Genomic DNA, 25215 nt, shown 5'->3' with positions numbered 1-25215 from the left:
TTCAAGCGATTCTCCTGCCTCAGCCTCCTGAGTAGCTGGGGTTATAGGTGTCCACCACCACAATTGGCTTTTTTTTTTTTTTTTTTTGTAGTTTTAGTATAGAGAGAGTTTCACCATGTTAGCCAGTCTGGTCTCGAACTCCTGACCTCAAGTGATCCACCTGCCTTGGCCTCCCAAAGTGCTGGGATTACAGACCTGAGCCACTGTGCCTGGCCCCAGGCTAGTCTTGAACACCGGGGCTCAAGCGATCTTCCCACCTCCACTAGGATTAGTAGCTAGGATTACAGGCGTGCGCTGCCATGGGTGGCTTTGAGCAACTACAGATAAAGCTGCTGTGGACCTACTAGTACATGACTTTTGATGGATATAAAGGTTCATTTCTGTTGGGTTTATGCCCAGGAATGGAATTGCTGGGTCATAGGGCATGACTATGACTATTATTATTTTTTAAATTTAGGGATCTATTAATGCCTCTACTGTACAAGGATGAATAAATGTGCATGTGTGGGTGTTTGCCTAGTGGAAACTAAAACTGTGGACATGCCCTACATATCTATCATCTACCAAGTAAAAATTGGTGAAAAATTCTTAGTCTTTAGGTAAAAGTCTGGATATTTCTGCAGTTCATAATTAGACAAGCAAGAAACTCTGGTGAGAAACTGGAAAGCACTGAAGAGACATCTCCTCCCTTTTCTTCCATATTGTTTTCAAATGCGATCTAGTGAAGATTTCGTGCTTGGTGTCTTCAATTATAGCAATGCTCATTAGGAGTGATGTACACTACTGCCTGTGGGCCCTTTCCCACAAAGTGGCTCAAGTTCAAGGTCAGGTTGGTGAGAGGCTATGATTGAGTCTGCCCAGAGTTTAGGGTAAGCCATTCCATATAATTGTCAAGACCCTCGTGTAGAATGGAAACATTCCTGTCTTCTCCAGAAAAACTGGGAGTTCTAGAAAAAGCAGACAGAAGGATTTGATTTGGGAGGGGTAGTAAAGGAAGCGGAAAACCTCTAAAGACAGATTTGTGAAACAAACCGTTTGATTCTTCTGAATTGCACTGCACATTAGGCCCCAACAGAGGGGCCTCAAGCAATTCTGCCAGTGGCTGGGGTTTCCCCTTCCATTCCCTTTTCCTTGTAAGGAAGTTTAAAGCTTGCAGGAGGCAGATAGGGGTCTTGGGCTTTCTGGGTACTCAGCTTGTGTGGGAGTATGCCAGTATCAGGGACAGTTTCCTGGGCCCCTTGCAGACCATAGGGAGAGGACTGCAGGGCAGGGAGACTGGCATCTCCACACAGGCGTCTGTATTCTTGGGGTCCAGAACTCCCGCAGCTGGTTTCTGGCAGTCAGCCAGGCTTGGCTTCCTCAGACTTCTTTAGATCCCAAAAAAGGGGGAAAGTGCCTCTCTTCTTTCTCTTTTCTGACTGACACTTCAGGATTTTACAAGATTTTGTCCCATCCGCTCTGTCAGCTTCTCTCTTTCCCTCTTTGTGTTGCTGTCCCTGAGTCTCATCTCTCCCTCTCCCCGTCCCTCCCTCAAGTCCTGTGGGTCTCCGTCCCTCCGTATGTCTTTACTTAAAGGGAAATCCAGACCCTTCCACAGGCCACTCTAGAGGCTCCATTTCCCCTTCAGGTCCGGAAGTGGAGTGTCCTGGGTTCCATCCAGATCGCATGTCTTCTACGTCTACGTTCGTGTCTCCCGCCTCTTCCCTCAGCCTCACCCGAATCAGGGCCTCCAGAGCATTCTGGGCAGTAGCGAGTCCCTGGGTAAGGGGCGTCCAGGGCACCTCCCTGGGGCCCGGAGCAGCTCATTCCAGGACATCTGGGACAGGAAGGGTACCGGGAATGAACTGGGGTGCTAGTACCCAGGACCCAAAGCCAGGGGCTGCCAGAAATACCTATTAACCCCCATTTCCCAGCCTCCTCTTACACAGGCGCATTCCCGGGTTCTCCTCTGAGGCCGGGAGCGGCCTCCCAGCCCCACCCCCGACTCCCCTTCCCCCCCAGGAGATGGACACTTTATAGAGAGAGCTTTTTATTCTCTCGTTAAACCTGTCAAAGCGCAGGAGACAGAAAGCTAGGGAGGGAGAGGAGGAGAAGGAGGTGGGGCCCGGCTCCTCGTCCCCTCTTCCTCCGCCCACCACGCCTCCCCTCCCCCCGGACGTGTAAATGAGACTCTGCAAACTGGAAAGCAGCGAAAGGACACCTCCTTCCTTTTCTCTCTTGTTGTTTTTAAGTGGAATGAGAGAGAGAGGAGTGGAGAGGGAAAAGAAGAGAGAGAGGGAGAAGAGAGAGAGGAGAGAAAGAGCGAGAGAGCGAGAGAGAGAGACAGAGACAGAGAGAGAGAGAGAGAGAGAGAGAGAGAGAAAGAGAGAGAGAGAGAGAGAGAATAAGCTGGGGTAAAGTATTTTCGCAGTTTCTGCCTTTAGGATTTTATTAGCTTCTCTCCCCCAGGCCGCAGCCAATCAGCGCGCGTGCCCGGGCCCCTGCGTCTCTTGCGTCAAGACGGCCGTGCTGAGCGAATGCAGGCGACTTGCGAGCTGGGAGCGATTTAAAACGCTTTGGATTCCCCCGGCCTGGGTGGGGAGAGCGAGCTGGGTGCCCCCTAGATTCCCCGCCCCCGCACCTCATGAGCCGACCCTCGGCTCCATGGAGCCCGGCAATTATGCCACCTTGGATGGAGCCAAGGATATCGAAGGCTTGCTGGGAGCGGGAGGGGGGCGGAATCTGGTCGCCCACTCCCCTCTGACCAGCCACCCAGCGGCGCCTACGCTGATGCCTGCTGTCAACTATGCCCCCTTGGATCTGCCAGGCTCGGCGGAGCCGCCAAAGCAATGCCACCCATGCCCTGGGGTGCCCCAGGGGACGTCCCCAGCTCCCGTGCCTTATGGTTACTTTGGAGGCGGGTACTACTCCTGCCGAGTGTCCCGGAGCTCGCTGAAACCCTGTGCCCAGGCAGCCACCCTGGCCGCGTACCCCGCGGAGACTCCCACGGCCGGGGAAGAGTACCCCAGCCGCCCCACTGAGTTTGCCTTCTATCCGGGATATCCGGGAACCTACCAGCCTATGGCCAGTTACCTGGACGTGTCTGTGGTGCAGACTCTGGGTGCTCCTGGAGAACCGCGACATGACTCCCTGTTGCCTGTGGACAGTTACCAGTCTTGGGCTCTCGCTGGTGGCTGGAACAGCCAGATGTGTTGCCAGGGAGAACAGAACCCACCAGGTCCCTTTTGGAAGGCAGCATTTGCAGGTACCTCTATTACCCTGGGTCCCCTTGTCTCTGAGCCTGGGGTTGTGGGTCCCAATGGCATTTCCCTGGGAGGAGGAGGAGGGAGACTTGGAGCTGGTGAGGATGAGCTTGGTGCTCCTCCCTTGGTTATTAGGACTCTGAAGGAGGTCTGAGTAGCTGGAGGGCCTGGATGGAGGTCAGTGTGAGGGGCCTGAGCTGGGTGCTATCTGAAGCCTGAAGGCCACCTCACTTCTCCAGGAGGCCCTGGGACCAGCCTTTCAACATGTCTGAGAGGTTTAGATCTCTTTGCTGTTGAGTGGGGATCAGGGTGTCCCTACCCAGCACAATTCCAAACTAATTCTACACAAAAGCTAAATAACTCTCAATTCGGTGCGTGGGGAGTGGGTGTGGGAGATGGGTAAAAAGGTATTGGATGTACTGTAGAGAATACAACCTCTCACTTTCTATTAGATGAGTTTTCCAATTTCCAAAGAAAAATTTAGGTTTCCTGCAGCCGTGACATATGTGTGTGCACTGGGATGGGTTAATGTGTGTGTGTGTGTGTGTATGCGCATGTATTGGGAGTGGGGGCAGAAACGTGTTTCCAGAATTTGCCTGTAGAATCTAAAAGAGTGGCCAAGAGTCTGGAAATGCATGAAGACTGGACGTATGTGATGGTGGGCAAAGGCCTGACTGTGTGTGGTGTGTGGGTATGTTTGCAGATTCGCGGGTGTGAGAGCAGTGATGGGTGAGGGTGGCCTTCAGGAGCCAAGGCTGAGCGGTGGTGAGAGAACAAGCCGGAAGCCAGGGTGCTGTCCTGGTATGCTTTGGAGGAACAGGATTGCACGTGCGCCTGTAGGGTGACCTGTGTGCACCTGTGAGATGACTTAGCTTGGGGCTTGCAAGGCCTGGGTCTGCATGGGTGGGTATCTGACCATGCCTTTTCCTCCCTCCCTTTCACGCCGCGCAGACTCCAGCGGGCAGCACCCTCCTGACGCCTGCGCCTTTCGTCGCGGCCGCAAGAAACGCATTCCGTACAGCAAGGGGCAGTTGCGGGAGCTGGAGCGGGAGTATGCGGCTAACAAGTTCATCACCAAGGACAAGAGGCGCAAGATCTCGGCAGCCACCAGCCTCTCGGAGCGCCAGATTACCATCTGGTTTCAGAACCGCCGGGTCAAAGAGAAGAAGGTTCTCGCCAAGGTGAAGAACAGCGCTACCCCTTAAGAGATCTCCTTGCCTGGGTGGGAGGAGCGAAAGTGGGGGTGTCCTGGGGAGACCAGGAACCTGCCAAGCCCAGGCTGGGGCCAAGGACTCTGCTGAGAGGCCCCTAGAGACAACACCCTTCCCAGGCCACTGGCTGCTGGACTGTTCCTCAGGAGCGGCCTGGGTACCCAGTATGTGCAGGGAGACGGAACCCCATGTGACAGCCCACTCCACCAGGGTTCCCAAAGAACCTGGCCCAGTCATAATCATTCATCCTGACAGTGGCAATAATCACGATAACCAGTACTAGCTGCCATGATCGTTAGCCTCATATTTTCTATCTAGAGCTCTGTAGAGCACTTTAGAAACCGCTTTCATGAATTGAGCTAATTATGAATAAATTTGGAAGGCGATCCCTTTGCAGGGAAGCTTTCTCTCAGACCCCCTTCCATTACACCTCTCACCCTGGTAACAGCAGGAAGACTGAGGAGAGGGGAACGGGCAGATTCGTTGTGTGGCTGTGATGTCCGTTTAGCATTTTTCTCAGCTGACAGCTGGGTAGGTGGACAATTGTAGAGGCTGTCTCTTCCTCCCTCCTTGTCCACCCCATAGGGTGTACCCACTGGTCTTGGAAGCACCCATCCTTAATACGATGATTTTTCTGTCGTGTGAAAATGAAGCCAGCAGGCTGCCCCTAGTCAGTCCTTCCTTCCAGAGAAAAAGAGATTTGAGAAAGTGCCTGGGTAATTCACCATTAATTTCCTCCCCCAAACTCTCTGAGTCTTCCCTTAATATTTCTGGTGGTTCTGACCAAAGCAGGTCATGGTTTGTTGAGCATTTGGGATCCCAGTGAAGTAGATGTTTGTAGCCTTGCATACTTAGCCCTTCCCAGGCACAAACGGAGTGGCAGAGTGGTGCCAACCCTGTTTTCCCAGTCCACGTAGACAGATTCACAGTGCGGAATTCTGGAAGCTGGAGACAGACGGGCTCTTTGCAGAGCCGGGACTCTGAGAGGGACATGAGGGCCTCTGCCTCTGTGTTCATTCTCTGATGTCCTGTACCTGGGCTCAGTGCCCGGTGGGACTCATCTCCTGGCCGCGCAGCAAAGCCAGCGGGTTCGTGCTGGTCCTTCCTGCACCTTAGGCTGGGGGTGGGGGGCCTGCCGGCGCATTCTCCACGATTGAGCGCACAGGCCTGAAGTCTGGACAACCCGCAGAACCGAAGCTCCGAGCAGCGGGTCGGTGGCGAGTAGTGGGGTCGGTGGCGAGCAGTTGGTGGTGGGCCGCGGCCGCCACTACCTCGAGGACATTTCCCTCCCGGAGCCAGCTCTCCTAGAAACCCCGCGGCGGCCGCCGCAGCCAAGTGTTTATGGCCCGCGGTCGGGTGGGATCCTAGCCCTGTCTCCTCTCCTGGGAAGGAGTGAGGGTGGGACGTGACTTAGACACCTACAAATCTATTTACCAAAGAGGAGCCCGGGACTGAGGGAAAAGGCCAAAGAGTGTGAGTGCATGCGGACTGGGGGTTCAGGGGAAGAGGACGAGGAGGAGGAAGATGAGGTCGATTTCCTGATTTAAAAAATCGTCCAAGCCCCGTGGTCCAGCTTAAGGTCCTCGGTTACATGCGCCGCTCAGAGCAGGTCACTTTCTGCCTTCCACGTCCTCCTTCAAGGAAGCCCCATGTGGGTAGCTTTCAATATCGCAGGTTCTTACTCCTCTGCCTCTATAAGCTCAAACCCACCAACGATCGGGCAAGTAAACCCCCTCCCTCGCCGACTTCGGAACTGGCGAGAGTTCAGCGCAGATGGGCCTGTGGGGAGGGGGCAAGATAGATGAGGGGGAGCGGCATGGTGCGGGGTGACCCCTTGGAGAGAGGAAAAAGGCCACAAGAGGGGCTGCCACCGCCACTAACGGAGATGGCCCTGGTAGAGACCTTTGGGGGTCTGGAACCTCTGGACTCCCCATGCTCTAACTCCCACACTCTGCTATCAGAAACTTAAACTTGAGGATTTTCTCTGTTTTTCACTCGCAATAAATTCAGAGCAAACAAAAGATGTGGAATCTTAGAGATTTATTCCACTGGTGTGTTAGGACCATTAAAAAGACGTGGGCGCCCCCTTCCGACAGAGGCTCACCACTCCAGGAGAACCTGCGGGCAGGCTTTCATCGTCCGCGGAGCTACAGGCTTCCAGCGGCCTGGGGCCTCGTGGGTACTGAGCTGCGTGTGGGGGTCCAGGACCCGATGTCGCCTGCCATTCGGCCAGGGCATCGGCAGATGTATTGGTCCAGCCCCCGAGAGACCCAGGAAGAAGGCAAGGAGGTTCGGTACGAGCCATCTCGAATGGAAGAAGAAGGCGGTCGGTCTGCGGGAGCCAGGCCGCAGAGCCATCCGCCTTCTGTCCATGTCTTCTTTATCTTCCTCGCCATAATAATTAGTGGTGTGGACCCCCCCACACACACTTTTTTTCGGATTTACTTGTATGGAACCTGTGCAAAAAATATTTAATTTCGTTTTGTATTAAACGCTTTCATTGGGAATCCCTTCCCAATTTTAGTCTCCCACCTATCCCTGGACGACCACATTGAAATCTCTCACTTATTTGTGTTTAAATCACAACAAAATCTACAAACCTATATTCGCCTGCAGATATTTATTTTTACATAAGGGCTATGTTAAGCTACAGGAGGAAATGTTTTGCTTACCATTCGGACAAACGTGTGAACACAATGTCACAATAGGTGAATCCAGACAATGAGCTCACAGACGAATAAACGCAGAGGCACACACATATACTCCGGAAAATAAGCAGGGCGCCTTTTCACTAACAAGGCGCAATTGTACCCTGAGCTGCCCTCCAGACCGTTCCCCTCCCTCAGAGCCAAACTCCCGCAGCGAATCTCTCAGCAAGCTACGAAATGGGATCACAGGGTCGCGTCTACGCGGGCTCCAGGCCCGAAATAATTTCTAACTCCAAAGCAAGTGGATTTTATTAGGCCTCCAGAAGCCGAATAAGGGAGTAGTGGCGCAATGCGTAGAAACTACCTCCGGAAGCTCTTTTTGAATCTCGGTTCCAGCACCCGCAACGCAGAGCGCGAACCTGAGGCTCCATCTTTCGGGTTTTACTCCGGCTGGCTAGCGCTTCCGGGAACCCTGCGAGGCCGCCGCCAGCCGAGAATCCGCCCCGCCTTCCCTGCAGGCGATCCCTACTCCAAATAGTAGTTCCCGGGCCGGAAGCTGGAAAGCCCTCGAAGCAGGAAAAAGCCTCATCCAGGCCCCCCAGTTCTCGGGAGCAGCTCCAGCTTTCCTTCCCCAACCTAGAGCAAACTTCTCTTCCCTGCAGCTCCCCTCCCCCCCTTCATTAAAGTTATATTGAAGGTGCTAAGTGCTGCACTCTAATTGGGTTTCCTTCAGGGGAGACCCTGTGCCCCCCGGCCCCAACCCGTCCTGTCTAATAGAAATCCCCGAGCTGCAACCGCGAATTAAATAGATGAACTCGTTACCGTAAACTTGCAATAAAGCCCGGAGGCGACTGCTGCGGAGGGGGCAAAAGAAGGTTTCGTTGTTTTTGAAATTTATACCATTCTCACCCTCCCGAACAGTCGCTCTCCAGGGAAGAGGGGAGAAAGCTCGGGAGCGGCCCCGGGCCTCTAGCCCAAAAGCAGGACACCCCGCCCCTCCCCCCAGGCACTGGCCTGGGCCTGAGACAGATTTAAAACATCCAATGAGGAACCGATGCCAGCCTTTCTTCCTCTCTCCCTACCAGTTAGTTCTGTGTAGAGGGGATGAGGGGGAGGGGACGAAGTGGTCGGGGGAGAGTGAGGGAAAGAATTCCACCATTACCTTCTCTCCTCCCCTAAACTGCCCCCGAACTGGGAGGTGCACAGGGGGCAGCAAAAGAGTTTAATCGCCCCTAGAATAATGCTGGCGCCCAGCCTGGGGGGAGGGTCAGGGACTTTGCCATTGAACTTGAAGTTCCAGGCTGGTGGTCTCCACCGCCCCCGCCCCCATTTTCCTAAAAGTTTTATGGGAAGAGGGAGGAAGGTGAGGGGAAGAGAGGACTTCTCTGGCCTTGGGAAAGAGGGAGGAAGCCAATCAGGGGAGGAAGGGCCACAGCAACCAGGAGGTCCAGGGAGATTCGGAGGTTTGCGGGGAGGCGAGGAGGCTGCTGGGAGGAGACACTCCAGCTTTCGCCCCTACTTGCAGCTATGAGGTGGGGAGCCACCAACCGCAGGCCTTCTTACTGAGCCCCGCCCCAGACTCTACAGGGAGAGGGGCACCCAGTGCTGTGCTCCCGTCCTTCCTCTCCTAGCCTAAGGCGTGCAAACAGAGCGCCACTGGGAGGCTGAAACCTTTAGGCCGATGCTTGCTTGCAAGGTCAGGCAAGCTGGATTCTGGTCCCCACCTTTGCAGAGAGAACAGCGATGTTGTGCGCCCATTTCTCAGATCAAGGACCGGCCCATCTTACTACCTCCAAGAGTGCTTTTCTCTCTAATAAGGTAAACTGATCGGTGGGCCAAGGGCGTTATCGACGGATCGCTCAGTATGGTAGCTGCATCAGGAGGCCCTGGGAGAGGGTCTCCCAGGAATTTGGGAGCCTTCAGAAGTTTTGGGAAACAAGGGAAGGGTGAGCAGCAGGCTTTCACCGATACCACCTGGCGGGAGCACCTACTCGCGGTTCCTGGAGAGACCGGCAGCCGCCCTGGGCAGAAAGGGACAAAGAAAATGTTTCGCAGCACGCGGGACCTGCAGGACCTAGGCGGGGGAGAGGCTTGGGAGTGGGAACTAGCACCCGCTGTAAGGTCTGCCATAAGACTTAATGTTTGTCTCCAATGGGATGGAGTCCTGGCATAAGCAAAATTAATATTGATAACGTTATTATTATTTAAAATTTGTAAATATTGTAAAATATTTTAGAAAACATCTACTTTGAAACATCTACTGGGCGAGACCAGGAGTGATGGCTCAGCCTGTAATTCTGGAATTTCGGGAGGCCGAGGCAGGAAGATTCCTTGAGCACAGGAGTTCCAGACCAGCCTGGGCAATGTAGCAAGACGCTGTCTCTATTTATACAATAAAATTTTTTTAAAAAAGGAAACTGGGTGAAAGTTAACTGTGATTATAACAATTTTTCTTTTTTAAACTAACTCATCCTTAAGGCAAAAGCTCTGGGCCTTAAAAAAATAAAAACGGGCCAGGCATAGTGGCTCATGGCTGTAATCCCAGCACTTTGGGAGGCTGAAGTGGGCAGATAACTTGAGGCCAAGAGTTTGAGATCAGCCTGGCCAACATAGTGAAAACTGTCTCTACTAAAAATACAACAATTAGCTGGGCATGGTGGCTCACACCTGTAATTCCAGCTACTCAAGAGGCTGAAGCACAAGAATTGCTCGAACCTGGGAGGTGGAGGTTGCAGTGAGCTGAGATTATGCCATTGCACTCCAGCCTATGTGACAGAGTGAGACTCTGTGACAAATAATAATAATAATAATAATTGCACCTTTTTCTCTGGGCCCCTGGCTTCCTTATTCCCTTTCCTGCACCCTCTCAGAAGCTCTGCCTTGCCAAGTGTGGGATCAATGCCACAGCAGGCATGTGTGCGCACAGGGGCTCTGGGTCCAGTACAGAAGCAGGCTGGGGACCACATGCTCACATCTTCAGCCAACCACTGATATTGCCAAGTCATTGGTCTTGGGGTGGGCACAGTAATCCACAAAAACACTCAGGACTCACCTAACTCTCTTCTCCCCACAGCTGGCTCCTTCCCTGCCAGTTCCCCCTCCCATAATGACAAAACCCACAATTGAGTGAGCACTTTATAACCTAAAGAAATTGAAACTAAGAGGGTAAGTTACTTGATCTGGGTCCCAAAACAGGAGCGCTTAACCTCTACCACCAACTGAAAAAATAGAAAGCCCAGGGACTCCTCTATTGTCAACATACCTCTCCCTGCAAGGCCCTTCAGACACTAACAAGCACCTGCTTCCATCCGGAGTCACCCAGCTGAGATCACACAGGTGCACCCAAACACCCTAGACCCAGCCCCTCCTCAGGCACTGGACAGATCTGCATATATGCAAACAGGGGATTAAACACGTGTGGACATTTTTGTCAACCAACTACTCATTAATTGAGTATGCAAAATCTTCCACTAGGGGTGGAAGACAGGAGGAAAGAGTTGGAAATATGCTCTCCCTTCCCACCAGGCCTGACTCCTATGCTGGTAAATCTTGGGTCTGCAGCTTCCCCATATGTGACCTGAGGCCAGAGGATTTTATTCCATGACCAAATGACTACAATCAGAACAAATGGGGAACAGGACGGGGAACAGGGAAAGAGAAAGATACACACACACACAGACAAGCAAGGCTTCTGGGAGTCTTCCCTGGAGAAGATGCTTGGAATATCAAATCCGGGAGGGAAGATGTGAACAAAACTCGGAGGAGGCCAGAAAATGCAGGTCGCGGTGGATAGAAGGACGGTGCGGATCCTTACTCCGGGTGAGCTAGAGCTGGCCAGGCAGAGAGCAGGGGCATCTCACAGGGTCCTGGACCCCCAGGCGAAGCCTGGGCAGTAATCAGACGTCCCCTTGCCCACTCAGAGGCTGATCGCCTTACCCTCATCCAGGCGGGCACACACCCGCACTACTCGCCAAACTCCGCAGACCCCAGGCTGAGGGCAGAGAGGCAGCTCTTGGTCTGCGGGGTCCGTACCCATCCTGTGGGCCCTCAGCTCCCCATCTCTAGGTGGGCCCAGCCCGTCGCCCCCGCCCGAGACCTGCGTCCAGCCTTTGTCATGTTGATGGCTGAAGCTCGCCGCACCTCCCATTCCAGGCAGGTTTTTGTCATTGAACTTGAGTCAGGCTATAAACATTCCTTCACCCCTCCGGAGCCAGGCCGAGACGCGGAGGGGTGGAGGGGAAGGGCGGAGGGGGCTGTGGAGCGACCCGAAACGCGAGAAACCGGGCCTCGCGCGGCTTTATCAAAGAGCTTCCAATCCTTGCCTTCCGGGGAACACCCGCCGGGCCTGCAGCTAAAAGCCGGATTCTTGAGGCCATCCGGCAAGTCAGGCCAATGTTTTGGTCGGGATCGACATGGTGTAACTTTTTCTGTTTTCCTCCTTGGCATTTCATGTTCGTTTACCTTATTCTAGGCAGTCTAATCCTTAATTTATTTTAATAATCAGGATAAACAGATGCGTACACAAACGAATACTAGCTAAGGCCGATGATTTATTAGAGAATGTTCGAGTCGGTCGTAACGAGGCCGTCGCCGCTCGGTTTTACAAGCGCCCCTCCCTCGGCGGGGTTATCCGGGGGGCTGTCGCCCGCCGCGCTATCCGATCCCTGGCTGCTACCAGGGCGGCTGCCGAGCCCCGCGGGTTTCCCAGCTGCCTTCCCAGGACCTGGAAACTTAAACTTCGCAAATGGGGCGTCTCCCTACTCGGTGGCGGAGGAAATAGCGGCCTGGAGAGCCATCCGACCCGGGAAACCGGCGCGTCTTTCCAGGCGACCCGCCGACTGCGGAGGCTGCGAGGAGCGGCCTGCTCAGACGGTAGTAGTGCTGCGTGTGCGTGTGTGTGTGTGTGTGTGTGTGTGTGTGTGTTTGTGTGCGAGCGCGTGCGAGTGTGTTTAAAGAATTCAGGATCCTGGAGCAAGGGAAGATCAAACACTCGATCTCCGGGTCTCTCCCTGGCTCGGTAACATCCAGTCGAAGGTGAACAGGGCGCGCCGGCGCGCGGGGAGGCGCAGGGGCCACTCCGTCTGGCGTGGGGCGCTTCGAGCGCAGGGCTTCCTTTCCAGCCGGGAGTCCCCCGCGGCTCAGCGACACCGGCTAATAAGATACCAAATCGGGCGAGACAACGAAAAGCTCCTGGCCTCCGTATTTGGGGCCAGAGACACCGCAGGGAGTCAGGTCCCCGCCGACAAATCGGAAGAGGCCTGCGGGAGTTAGCCAGATAATGCTCTCCCTGTCCTACCCGTCCCCACCAATTTGCCTTTTACCTGCCGCAGAGCTTGCTTGAACCAAAGGGGTTTGCGGTCTTCTCCTCCTCAACTTGCGATCCCCAGGCCTTCGCGGCCCGGGAAAGAATCCAGCCAACCCTTCTGCCTTTGTCTGACCTTCGGGGAAAAGAGGCGTGGGCGCCTGGGTCAAGTTCACGGACCTGGTCTGTGTCTTTTAGGACAAGCGGGGGCACCGTTCCCATTCTGACGAGGAGGGTTCTAAGCATTTGGGACAGTGTGGGGGCGAAAATGAAGCTGCGAGAAAGGACTTTCAATCTTAATCTGTTGCCCTAGTCTCACATCCCCTCCCCCTCCCGCAGCCCTGTAGAGGAGAAATAATTAGATCCGAAGGGAAGCCTTTGATTTGGAAAAATGCGAAGGTCTCATGGAATGAGCTTCCCAGAAATGGTCTTTGGCACTTGGGTAGTTTTGCGTTGAGTTCGGTGCCGGCGTTTATGAAAGTTAAGGATTTGCAGTATTCGGCACAGCGGTTTCTGTGGAATTCGATTCAGAGCAAACGAGATCACATCTACATTGCTTTCCAAAAAGCTTCAGACTCAACACATTGAAATAATTTTCCCCAACATCCTGGTTCCTACCCACCCCCCCCCCCTTTTTTTTTTTACAGGGCCTGATGCAAAATGATGTTCCTGCCCCTTAAAAAAAAAAAAAAAGAGCCTCAAAGTGGAAAAAAAAACTATCCCGATCGCAGCAAGTAGAACACGGGTCTTAAAACACAGAGCTACTTTTAAAACTTTTTTATAAACAGCCCCTTTTAAATTAAAAAAATTGTTTCAACGTGTATGTTTTATAATTTTTAACCACTGTTAATAGTTACTTTTTGTTCCCCTTCCCCTCAACCTAGTTATACACAACCTAATTTGGTTTGAAAACATACTGTACATTTTCTGTGTCCTAAGCAATTCCTCAAGTTATTGCAGTCTTCTAAGTGCTATTTTTAGATTGCATAATATGCAATGAAAGAAGTTGTCATAATTTAGAAAACGATTTCCCTAAAGTTAGTCTTTTAGGCTGTACCCATATTTAAAAAGAGGAGTTTCAGCTGGACACCGCAGCTGACCTATAATCTCAACACTTTGGGAGGACAAGATGGGAGGATTGCTTGTGGCCAGGAGTTCAAAACCACCGTGGGCAATATAGCCAGATTCCGTCTCTACAATTTTTTTTTTTTAATTAGCCAGGCATGGTGGCACTTGCCTGTAGTCCCAGCTACTCCGGAGGCAGAGGTAGGAAGATCGCCAGGGAGTTTCAGGCTGCAGTGAGCCTTGATCCTGCCATTGCACTCCAGCCTAGTCTACTCCAGCTTGGTCAACAGAGCAAGACCCTGTCTCTAGAAAATAAATAAATAAAATGAAGAATTTCTTTTCCTGATTAGAAAAGTACTCCAGCTTGGTCAACAGAGCAAGACCCTGTCTCTAGAAAACAAACAAATGAAAAGAAGAAATTTTTTTCTTGATTAGAAAAGTAACACATTCTTATTATTAAGAATTTCAAAATATAAAAATAATTATAAAGAAGGAAATAAAATTCACCCCATATACTACCACCCAAAGTTTACCAAGCTACTCTTTTGTTATATTTTCTTCAGTTATTTTTCCTTGCACATATGTACAATTTCAAAACTGAGATTCTGCAAGAATTTTTTTGTCTTGCCTTTTATTTAATGTTAGATTATGAACATTTCCCAGTGTTATTAAATATTCTTCAAAAGCTTGATTTTAATGATTGCATTTATTTATCTAAAAATCATTTCGATTTTTTGTTTCCATGTTTACTTTTAAAAATAATTCCTAAGAGTGAAATTGTTATGCCACTGAGTATGTTTGTTAGAGACATGAGAGTAGTATCCCCTGAAATAGAATGCTTCAAAAATTCTAGGTTAAAAATTCCCCCTTCTGAAATAGCCAGATGTGGTGCATACCTGTAGTCCTAGCTACTCAGGAGGCTGAAGTGGCAGGATTGCTTAAGCCCGGGAGTTCGAGGCTGCAATGAGCTTCTCTCTCTCTCTCTCTCTTTTGAGACAGGGTCTTGCTCTGTTGCCCAGGCTGGAGTGCAGTGGTGTGATCACTGTTCTCTGCAGCCTCAACCTCCCAGGCTCAAGTGATCCTCCCCCTCCCACCTCAGCCTCCCAGGTAGCTGAGACTACAGGTGTGCACCACCAAGCCCAGCTAATTTTTTGTATTTTTGGTAGAGATGGGGTTTTGCCATATTTCCCAGGCTGGTCTCGAACTCCTGGGCTCAAGTGATCCCCCTGCCTCGGCCTCCCAAAGTGCTAGGATTACAGGCATGAGCCATGAGGCCCAGCAGACACTGTGTCTTAAAAAAAAAAAAAAGTCCCCATTGTTAGAAGGAAATAAAAGGGGGCCTTTTAAGGTGCTCAAAATGTTCCGTGTTTTGATCAAGGTGGTGGTTATGTGCCTGTATACATGTGTAAAAATTCATTAAACTAAACATTCAAGATTTGTGTGTTTTACTTTTAAAATTTTAACACTGCTCTCCCACCCCCTGAAAGCCTGTGCCTGTTTACAAAGAAAAAGAGCAATGCAGGAAATAGGTGGAGGAAGCAAAGAAGGGGTGGGACCAACCCAAACTGGATTGATTCACCCCTTCCTAGGTTATTATCTTTGGTTCAGAGACTAAAATATTTACCAGAAGTAAATATTTGACAGTTAGTGATGATGGGTGGGTGGGGGCGAAGTGCTTGGCCCTTCTTCCCAACCCCAATGCTAGCCCTTGTTAGATAGAGAGGATTTTTTTCCTATTATTGTTGCACTCCTGTGGCATTGACCTTCTCTAATGAATAGAAGAGGGATAAAAACAGGGTAGAAAATATTTTAAAAGAGTTAAAATGAACAGATACACAGCTGACTCATCTAACAGTGTCATGTGAAATAGAAATGGGATTTTAAAATATAATAATAATTTTTTTTCAGAAATAGATTGATTTTTTATTTACTTTGTAACCTACTTTCAGTTAAAAATACAACAGGCAGAACTTGGGGATTGCAAGGACAACTGCTCTCGTAGGTGACAATAAGGACCTGGAGGGACTGGAGTGGAGTCTGGTGTCTGAGTCTGGTTTTATTGGCATTGTCACGTGAGGTCATTGGGGCTGCGTGCTGGCCAGAGCATATGGTTAATCCTTGGGATGCTGAGGAGAGGGGGAAAAAAACCCTTTATGCTATTGGGCACCAGAGTTACTTCCTGTTTGTGCTTCAGACAGGGAACTGCTACAACGGCTTCACACATTCATATTTAGTGGTGACTTCTTATTTTTTTACTGTCATTTTATTCCTTTTCACTTAAAATCAGGATAAAGTTGGATTTTTAATATTTTATAAAGAAAGACATGAGACACATTTTCGTGTCAAAAAAACCACTATGGATGTTTTACAAAACAGCTTTCCTTTTTCCAAGTATAACATATATACAATAAAGTGTATTAATCTTGTGTATAGCTTGAAGTTACCTATTTACCTAGATAAACACCATTCAGAATAAGATAGAAAACATTTCATTTCCTCTATCCCTGTGTGTTCCCTCCAGACCCTTTCCAGTATAATATTCCAGAGGTAACTGCCATTCTTTTTTGTTTTTGTTTTTGATACGGAGTCTCGCTCTGTCGCCCAGGCTGGAGTGTGGCTCACTGCAACCACTGCCTCCTGGGTTCAAACAATTCTCCTGACTCAGCCTCCTGAGTAGCTGGGATTACAGGCTTCCACCTGTAATGTAACCATGCCCAGCTAATTTTTCTATTTTTAGTAGAGACAGGGTTTCACCATGTTGGTCAGGCTGGTCTCGAACTCCTGACCCTAGGTGATCCACCTGCCTCGGCCTCCCAAAGTGCTGGGATTACAGGAATGAGCCACTGTGCCTGGCCGTAACTGCCGTTCTGATCAGTCTCAAATCCCCGCATCTATTGACATTGACTTGTTTTGACTGTTCTTGAACTTTTTATAAGTAGAATTACACAGTGTGTACTCTTTGGGGTCTGGGTTTCTTCCATTCAACAAAATGTCTGTGAGATTAATCTCCATGTTGTTGTGTGTATTGACAGTTTATTATTTTTAATTGCGTTCTGCTATTCCACTGTATGGATACACCGCAACTAGTTTATCCATTCATTTGTTGATGGACATTTGAGTTGTCTATATTTTTGTCTATTACAAATAAAGCTACTATCAATATTCTTGAACAAGTCTTTTGGTGAACAAATTGAATCACATTTCTTGTAGAATTTCTGGGTTATAGGGTAGGCACTATATATGTTTAATTTACTACCTCTGTGGTATTTTTAAAAGTTCATTATCCATATATCAGTCTCCAATCCCCACAAGCAAGTGGTCAGATTGAATAACATGATTGATTACATTTGCTTGGATTTCTCTCTCTCTCTTTTTTTTTTAGACGGAGTCTTATTGTGTCACCCAGGCCGGAGAGTGCAGTGGTGCAATCTCGGCCCACTGCAACCTCCGCAGTTTCAAGCGATTCTCTTGCCTCAGCCTCCCGAGTAGTGGTGATGTGTCACCACACCCAGCTAATTTTTGCTATTTTTAGTAGAGACAGGGTTTCCCCATGTTGGCCAGGCTGGTCTTGAACTCCTGGCCTCAAGTGATCCTCCCACCTTGGCCTCCCAAAGTGCTGGGATTACAGGTGTGAGCCACCACACCTGGCCTCTTTCTTTCTTTTCTTTCTTTCTTTCACTTTCCAATAAGTTTTATTATTAGTCAAGTCATGATTGAGGGTTCCAGGGTGGGGATCGCCATGTACCCAGGTCCCCTTTTACCACCCTGGGAGAAGGACGGAGGACAGAGGAAAGGTGGGGTGCAGCCAGTTCAAATCTTCCCAGGGAAATGTGGCTTCTGCCCAGTGGTCGTCCCAGGCTGAGATCCAGGATATGGGAATGAGGGACTTGTACACAGGCTGGTACCATTCACATACAAAGACATTGTCCCCTTTAGCAATCACTGCCTTCTCACAGAGGTGGAAGTCCAGGTAGTCCTGCAAGCAGTTCCTGGGCTGGTTCTGGTTGGGGAAGCTGCTGTCAAAAAGAGCGGTCTTGTAGTTCTTTTTTTTTTTTTTTTGAGAAGGAGTCTTGCTCTGTCTCCCAGGCTGGAGTGCAACGGCACGATCTCAGCTCACTGCAACCTCCGCCTTGTGGGTTCAAGCAATTCTCCCGCCTCGGCCTCCTGACTAGCTGGGACTAAAGGCACCTGCCATCATGCCTGGCTAATTTTTGTATTTTTGTAGAGATAGGGTTTCCCCAAGTTGGCCAGACTACTCTGGAACTCCTGACCTCCTGAGGTAATCAACCTGCCTCGGCCTCCCAAAGTGCTGGGATTACAGGTGTGAGCCACCGTGCCTGGCTGGTCTTATTCTTGATTTGGGTCTTTTTTTTTTTTTTTTTTTTTTTTTGAGACAGGGTCTCACTGTGTCACCCAGGCTGCAGTGCAGTGGTGTGATCTTGGCTCATTGTAGCCTCAACTTCCTGGGATCCAGTGATCCCACTGCCTCAGCTTCCCAAGTAGCTGGGATTATAGGCATGTGCCACCATGCCCAGCTAATTTTTGTATTTTTAGTAGAGATGGGGTTTCACCATGTTGGCCAGGCTGGTCTCGAACTCTGACTTCAGGCGATCTGCCTGCCTTGGCCTCCCAAAGTGCTGGGATTACAGGTGTGAGCCACTGTGCACTTAAAGACTCCCCTGATGCCTCAGCAAAGATGCCAGTGTCTGACAGAACTGCTTAAATTTCTATGATGAGCTTATTTTGCAGTCTTGATGGCCTGGATCCTTGGGACAGCAGAGATATGCGTTTGCTCACGGCAGACCATCAAGACTCATGGCTCTGGTCCTCTCTATGATCTCCCTCCACTGACCCCAGTCCTGGGGCACAGTCACACCTGCAAGTTATGCCCTTGTGGATCTCACCAAACTCCCCTAAATGCAAGCACAATGACCTGGGCAAAGAAGAGCTGTGACTGAGGTTAATGGTCAGGGTCAGCAGGGACCAGAGGCCAAAGGGTTAGTGTCAGAAGGTAGAAGCGATTCTCCTGAGTCCTGATTTGGAAGCTGAGTTATGCCTCAGGAAATTTATTGCCCCATGGTCTTTTAACAAGAAGCGATCTATCTTCCCGGGCAGAACTTCTATTACTGGTGACAGGTACCTGGAGCCAGCTTATTAAAAACCATCATTTCAAACCCCAAAGCGAAGGCCCCACAGTGTGTTGGAATAGAATGCTAATTTCTAGCTCCATATCATAATCTAGGACATGGGGAGAGTATTACGAGGCATTTTAAAATTCAAGAGGAAGGAAACTCAGTGCTATTTCTGCACTCTGGGAGCAGGGAGCATTAGGATCTTTATTTCACAGGTCACACTCCCCTATTCTAGCAGGTTAATACAACTCACAGGCTCTTACCTGCTGCCGTGGGCTGGCCCTGCCCTGGCCCAAGGTAGAACTTGCCTCATTGCTCAGTAGCTGTGGCAGAATAGAATGAGCGCTGGACTTCGAGCCAATGGGTTGGATTCAAGTCCTGCTGTGGTCTAGGGAAAAAGCCCTCTTACATTGGTATGAAACTTTTTCATTTTCCAAGTACCTGTGTACTTCACATCTTTCATCTCATGTATGGTGAGGTACAGGGAAAGGGAAAGAATGTCCATTTTACAGAAAGGGTAAATGGATATCTTTGAGCCAGTTCCTTCTTATTATTGGAGGTGAGAGGAGCCTCCCCTCACTGGCTTTTTTTTTTTCTTCTTTTTTTTTGAGACAGAGTCTCGCTCTGTCGCCCAGGCTGAAGTGAAGTGGTGTGATCTCAGCTCTCCACAACTTCCGCCTCCGGGGTTCAAGCGATTCTCTTGCCTCAGCCTCCTGAGTAGCTGGGATTACAGGTGCCCACCACCACACCTGGCTAACTTTTGTATTTTTAGTAGAGACAGGGTTTCACCATGTTGGCCAGGCTTGTCTCGAACCCCTGACCTCAGGTGATCCACCCGCGTTGGCCTCCCAAAGTGCTAGGATTACAGGCGTGAGCCACTGCGCCCGGCAGGGTTTTATTTTATTTTAATTTAACTTTATTTTATTTGAGATGGGGTATTGCTTGGTCACCCAGGCTGGCATACAGTGGCACAATCATCACTCAACTGCAACCTTGAACTCCCAGGCTCAAGCGATCCTCTCCCTCCACCTTTGGAGTAGCTGGGATTACAAGTGCATACCATCACGCTTGGCTAATTTTTTGTATTTTTTGTAGAGTTTCCCTATGTTGCCCAGGCTGGTCTCGAACTCCTGGGTTCAAGTGATCCACCAACCTCAGCCTTCTAAAGTGCTAGGATTACAGGCATGAGCCACTGCACCCGGCCCCCTTATTGCCTTTTGTCTCCAAATCTTTTCTGTGCAGCTTTGAGAGCAGCTCTGAGAAATTTGGATGGGTGGGAGAGGAGGCGTGGGGGAGACTGTTCCTGGAGCTCTCTCAGGGATGAGCCAGTTTTTCTGCCTCCTTAGAGCTTCTCTACCCATGTGGTCTTCCAGGGGACATTCCTGGCTGAATTATTCAAACTGTCAGTGAACTTTCTGTGTCATACAGGGCTGGGTGTGCTTAGGCACAGTAAAGGGGAGATCTAAGCAAATGATATGAACGGTCAGGTCAAGAATTGGCCACACAATTGAACGAAGTACATTTTTAGCATGTTGGTAGATATCCCATTGAAAATGCTTGGCATGGAAGCATGGGAATTGAGGAAACTGGTTAGAGATCCCCCTACGGAGTGAAGTTGAAGGATAATTTACAGCTGCATCAGAGCAACATATCTATGATTTTATGAGTTTTGGTTTCTATCTTAATGATCTGCATGCATTTGACATGGTTGTCATGGAATGTCAGATGTTTCACAATGTATGTGGATGATTTCATGTTTTTTGACAATTTATAGCAGTTAAATAAAACTGCCCTAAAAAGTTTTGTCCCTCTGGGAATTTGGGGAGCACATGCTGTGTTCCTCTTCCTGTCCCTCCTTACCCTGGCAGTCTACCTGATTATTTTCTTCTGCCTCTTCTCCCCTTTTTATAAAATATTTTAATAAAATATTTGGATAAGCAACACAAACTCATCTAAATTTCCAGTTGTTTTAATACCTCAGTAACCTGTAGGAAAATAGTGCCTGTGAGTCTAATTGAATTTTTCATCTAGCTGTTTGGTGCCATGTGGTCTGAGGCTTGGGAGAGCTGAAAACTTGGTTGTCAGGGGCCCTTGTGGAGTATGTGTACAGGTGACAAAACCAGTGTTGGGCTGGGCACAGTGCCTCATGCCTGTAATCCCGGCACTTTGGGAGGCAGAGGCAGGTGGATCACTTGAGGTCAGGAGTTGGCCATCAGTGTGGTCAACATGGTGGAACCCTGTCTGTACTGAAAATACAAAAATTAGCTGGGCTTGGTGGCACACACCTGTAATCCCAGTTACTCAGAAAGCTGAGGCAGGAGAATCACTTGAACCTGGGAGGCGGAAGTTGCAGTGTGCCTAAATCGCACCACTGCACTCCAGTCTGGGAGACAGAGTGAGATGCTATCTCAAAAAAAAAAAAAAAAAGGTAAAAAATAAAAACAAAAAAATAAAACCAGTGCTGCTTCATTCCCAGCTTGGCCCAAGGTGGGGCTCACTCGGCCTTAGAGGCGGAACTACTTTCTGGGCTTTGGACCTAAGAATCAGCTGTCTCCCTTCCTAACGCCCTTTCTCTGAAGAGTAAGCTGTGGCTCTAAAACAAAGGATTCCCCATTCACGTGTAAAGCTACAAGGGATTCCCCAGAGGAGTGGCTCCTTCAACCCAGGTGTGAGTAACCAGAGACTGTTGTTTCATTTCAGAAATGATTTAGATGATAGATGCGAGACCTTTCTCAATAAAAACATTTTATTTGTCCCCCAGAAGGTTTCCGTGGAAGCATCTCAATATGCCCCATATACTATTTTTACTCTGAATGTTTCCATGGCCCAGAATCATATTTGGCACAGCTGTTAGGTATAAGTGTGACTCTGGGCTGAGAGGTCTTCCTCCAACTTGGCAAGGGTTTTTCCAGTGGCTGGGCTGAGGGTGCCGTCTCTGCCACCTCAGCTCATTGAAGAGGCAGATGGGCCGGGCGCGGTGGCTCACGCCTGTAATCCCAGCACTTTGGGAGGCCAAGGCGGGTGGATCACCTGAGGTCTGGAGTTCGAGACCAGCCTGACCAACATGGAGGAACCCTGTCTCTACTAAAAATACAAAATTAGCCGGGGGTGGTGGTGTATGCCTATAATCCTAGCTACTCAGGAGGCTGAGGCAGGAGAATTCCTTGAACCCGGGAGGCAGAGGTTGTAGTGAGCTGAGATCACGCCACCGCACTCCAGCCTGGGCAACAACAGCAAAACTTCTCAATAAAACAAAAAACAAAACAAAACAAAAAACCCACAACAAAACAAAAAAATGAGGCAGATGAGGCTCACTCTGTAGTTTCTACCATACCTCAATCTATATCCTCAGCTCCCTAAAAGCAGAAAACTGCAGCACTGCAGGAGAATCTGGTCAGAAAGGCAAGTGGGAATGAAGCATTTCCTCCACTTGGCTTGAACCCCCTAAAGGGAGAACAGAGCCCAGTAATGATACATCATCAATTCCCAATTACCTGAAATAAAATGTTCTGCCCTGGACTTCTCTTGGCTTGGCTAATCTTTTTTCTTTTCTTTTCTTTTTTTTTTTTTTAAGAAATGGGGAGGGTCTCACTATGTTGCCCAGGCTAGACTTGAACTCCTGCACTCAAGCGATCCTCCTGCCTCAGCCTCTTGAGTAGCTGGGACTACAGGTGTGTACTATTGCACCCAGCCTTGGCCAGTCTTGATCCACACTGTTGACATCATGACTTTATCCTCTGGACCTGACTCTTCTGTTGTCCTCAGCCCTGCCGTGGTTGACTTCTTCTAACTGCAGGGAGCTAGAAGTCAGAGAAATATGTGAACTTCCTTTCTGTGCCATGATGTTCCAAAGAGGCACTGGGGCAAGACTGAGAGTTGTGGAACTCAGCAGACCCTCTTCAGTCAGCCTTCATGGTATGTTGTCTGGTAAACTGACTTCAGGATAGAAGGTATGGCACAAGCGCCTAACTGTTCATAGGTGCTGGACAAATGTTGATCAAATGAATAAATAAATGAGGAGTGAATAAATCAATATATTCCAAGGATGCCACCATATAGTTACAGAGTTACTACCCACTGAAGTTGCATTCCTAAGTGAAACTATAAATCATTTTTATAATAAAGTAAAAGTTTATCTGATGTGTAGTTGTCTTTCATTGGTAACCAAGAGAAAAGATTTATAGCATTTCATGAAATGCCTGTCCTACCACCCGCACCTTCTCTCCTTGGTCCTATATGTTATTTCTTTATCCCAAACACTTCACTGTTCCCTTCTCCAAAGCCTTCAGTATAAGGCCTGAGCTCTGCATCATGGCCCCCAGGGCCATATAAGATCAAATTCCAACCTGTCTTTTCAGGCTTAACACCTCACCCTGTGCAGTCCTTCATTGTGAGGTCTTCATGATGTTGCCTCATTTAATCCTTCTAATAATGCGGGAGATAATTTTTACCCCGTTTCACAGATGAAGAACTGACTAGCTAGTAGGAGGTAGAACCAGGACTTAAATCCAGGTGGTTGACCCCAGTTCTCTAAGTTTCCTACTGCACACACTGCCCCTCCAGCTGTATCCTTTCCCAACCCCCTGGGCTTCTGCCGTTCACTTCCTTGTATGTGCCAGAACTTTCTCACCTTGACATCTCTGACCACATGAAACCCTCCACTTCCCCAGCTCTGTGTGTGCAGAATCCCATCCATTCTGCGTAGTTCAGCTCAGACACCATCCCCACCATGAGTCCTCAAGGTTGGATTTAATCTCCCTCTTCTGTGCACTCATTGTTCCTTGATTTTACTTATTTTGTTTATTATTTTTTTGAGACAGGGTCTTGCTCTGTCACCCCAGACTGGAATGCAGTGGCACAAACCATGACTCACTGCAGCCTCAACATCCTGGGCTCAAGCAAACCTCCTACCTCAGCCTCCCATGTAGCTGGAACTACAGGCACACACCACCACACCATGCCCAGCTAATTTTTTATTTTTTGTAGAGACAGGGTCTCACTGTGTCGCCCAGGCTGGTCTCGATCTCCTGGACACAAGTGATCCTCCTGCTTCGGCCTCCCAAAGTGCTGGGATTACAGGGAGGAGCCACCATGCCTGGCCGACTTTACTTATTTAAAGACATTCAGCCCTCTATCGCATGGCTGAATGTAGATGAGCCTGTTGGGCTTTGTCACTAGACGGTCTTCAGATCCTTGAATACGGGGATTGTGATTGTGTCTTGTTCACCAGTGTATGTTCTGCAGTGCCCAGCAGGCACATAGCACATGGTAATCACTCCATAAACACCCATTAATAAAATCATGTTTTTATTATCAAGTGAAAAAAAAGTGCAGAATGGGATTATGGTAGTCTATCTTTTGTGTAGTAAGGGGGAAAATAGGAATATATTATCACAATAATTTTCATTTGCATAAAGACACTCTGGAAGGACACAGGAGAAACTAATCACAATGGTTTCCCCTAAGCACAACGGTGAGACCAGGAGAGGTGGAGACAGTGTGAGAGAAAGATCTTTTTACTTTATATATTTTTATAGTTTCTTAAAAGCATGTGAATGTATTTATTTTAAAAATAAAAAAGATAGCTGAAGTGGTTTAGACATCAGGGCTATTTTTGATGCTGTCCTGGACTTGTGACATGGCAATATCCACAAAATGTCATTAGCCTATCAACTTTATGGCAGGTGGCAGGGCTGCCCCTGCATAAGGTGATAAAACTCTGCTTGATATATGGAAGGCCAGGCAGGGGGTGGGAAGAGAGGGAGGGAGAGAAACAGAAGGGAAAGGTTGGGGTGAGAGAACAGAGTGAAATATGGGGAGAAATAAAGAGAAGCGAGAGACTGGAAAAAAGATGGAGACAAGAGAGGGAAAAAGGAGAAAATCAGATTTAAGAAGATCAAAAAAAGAAGACAGAATAAAAGAGAAAGCATGTACCTGAGAAAGGCTTGGAGGGAAACTCCAAAATCAGGTCACTTCCAAAAAAACTCACACACTGGGTGAGACAAGCCTAACCCACCAGAGGCCTGCTAGACTGTGAGATGAGGATGAGGCTCCACATTGAGGGAGCAGAGTGTCATCAAACACATGGTTCCAGCTGCCCTGCCGGATGTGGGGCAGGCCCTCCCCAGTACTGCCTCTACAGCATGAAGCAACAGAGAGAGGCAGGGTCCTCTGGGCTTCCATGGATCTTCTCAGGACCCAATCCCAATTTATCTTCGGGAGTTGATTTCCCAAGGGCAGGTACCCTTGGCAGCCTGAATCATGTGACCTCCGGGGATAGTGTAGTCCATTAGAAACACATCTGTCCTGCTACTGGTAGTGGGGGTGCTTGCCAGAAGACCACCCCTGGCTTCGAGTTCCTTCCTTAACAACTCTGGGGAGGTGTGGCTGGTACAGTCTTGGCTCCAGAATCTCCCTTCCTGGGTGGAGAGGGTTTTGAAAAGGAAGAGAGAGGGCTAGGGCAGGAGTTAAAGTTGGTGATGGGAGAAATCTGGCCTTAAGGATGGATGTTCAGTTCCAGAAAAGATGAGGCTCTCTGCTCCCCACTATGGACAGTTTCCATTCAATTGGCAGAACATCTGCAAAAGAGGAATTCAACAGCATCTTGTTAAAAGG

General features: G+C 49.3%; 3 protein-coding genes, 1 long non-coding RNA gene, 1 other non-coding gene and 1 pseudogene across 13 annotated transcripts in view, besides 3 other annotated features; 3 read left to right on the top strand and 3 right to left on the bottom strand.

Annotated features, from left to right (window-relative positions):
* HOXB13 (homeobox B13) lies at window positions 2487–6474 on the top strand. Its single transcript, NM_006361.6, has 2 exons — window positions 2487–3244; window positions 4194–6474. The coding sequence occupies exons 1-2, from the start codon at window positions 2644–2646 to the stop codon at window positions 4445–4447; spliced, it is 855 nt and encodes a 284-aa protein (NP_006352.2). The 5' UTR covers window positions 2487–2643; the 3' UTR covers window positions 4448–6474.
* On the bottom strand, window positions 6479–12571 carry PRAC2 (PRAC2 small nuclear protein). Of its 5 annotated transcripts, none has more exons than XM_047435918.1 (2): window positions 12423–12571; window positions 6479–6909 (listed from the first exon to the last, which is right to left on the bottom strand). In XM_047435918.1, exon 2 carries the CDS (start codon window positions 6824–6826, stop codon window positions 6554–6556), a length of 273 nt encoding a protein of 90 aa, XP_047291874.1. In that variant the 5' UTR covers window positions 6827–6909; window positions 12423–12571; the 3' UTR covers window positions 6479–6553. The 5 variants fall into 5 exon arrangements, with proteins under 5 accessions (XP_047291874.1, XP_011523049.1, NP_001269204.1 ...); XM_011524747.2 differs by lacking the exon at window positions 12423–12571 and adding an exon at window positions 10364–10435; NM_001282275.2 differs by lacking the exon at window positions 12423–12571 and adding an exon at window positions 7924–8052.
* MIR3185 (microRNA 3185) lies at window positions 6762–6829 on the top strand. Its single transcript, NR_036150.1, has one exon. It is a non-coding gene; the product is annotated as a microRNA 3185 (primary transcript).
* Window positions 7743–8258: an enhancer, noted in NCBI's record as "NANOG-H3K27ac-H3K4me1 hESC enhancer chr17:46800341-46800856 (GRCh37/hg19 assembly coordinates)". NCBI's record gives its function as "activates a minimal SCP1, AML or CMV promoter by ChIP-STARR-seq in naive H9 embryonic stem cells {active_cell/tissue: H9 hESC(naive)}" and the evidence as "EXISTENCE:reporter gene assay evidence [ECO:0000049][PMID:30033119]".
* Window positions 8259–8773: an enhancer, noted in NCBI's record as "NANOG-H3K27ac-H3K4me1 hESC enhancer chr17:46799826-46800340 (GRCh37/hg19 assembly coordinates)". NCBI's record gives its function as "activates a minimal SCP1, AML or CMV promoter by ChIP-STARR-seq in naive H9 embryonic stem cells {active_cell/tissue: H9 hESC(naive)}" and the evidence as "EXISTENCE:reporter gene assay evidence [ECO:0000049][PMID:30033119]".
* PRAC1 (PRAC1 small nuclear protein) lies at window positions 8719–9518 on the top strand. The gene is made up of 2 exons (NM_032391.3): window positions 8719–8919; window positions 9338–9518. The coding sequence occupies exons 1-2, from the start codon at window positions 8845–8847 to the stop codon at window positions 9434–9436; spliced, it is 174 nt and encodes a 57-aa protein (NP_115767.1). The 5' UTR covers window positions 8719–8844; the 3' UTR covers window positions 9437–9518.
* COX6B1P2 (cytochrome c oxidase subunit 6B1 pseudogene 2) lies at window positions 17369–17590 on the bottom strand (annotated as a pseudogene).
* Window positions 18129–18302: a silencer, noted in NCBI's record as "fragment chr17:46790297-46790470 (GRCh37/hg19 assembly coordinates)". NCBI's record gives its function as "represses an EF-1alpha promoter that drives an FKBP-Casp9 reporter gene in an ReSE screen in HepG2 liver carcinoma cells {active_cell/tissue: HepG2}" and the evidence as "EXISTENCE:reporter gene assay evidence [ECO:0000049][PMID:32094911]".
* Window positions 23891–25215, bottom strand: part of LINC02086 (long intergenic non-protein coding RNA 2086) — a 64720-nt gene continuing 63395 nt past the window's right edge. For all 5 annotated transcript variants that reach the window (NR_189645.1, NR_189644.1, NR_189648.1 and 2 more), the window contains one exon: window positions 23891–25178. This is a non-coding gene — a long non-coding RNA (long intergenic non-protein coding RNA 2086). The remainder of the gene's footprint in view (window positions 25179–25215) is intronic.

The sequence above is a fragment of the Homo sapiens genome, chromosome 17 (genome assembly GCF_000001405.40).
Source record: "Homo sapiens chromosome 17, GRCh38.p14 Primary Assembly".
Lineage (NCBI taxonomy): Eukaryota > Metazoa > Chordata > Mammalia > Primates > Hominidae > Homo > Homo sapiens.
This window is presented reverse-complemented; position numbering and strand designations above follow the sequence as displayed.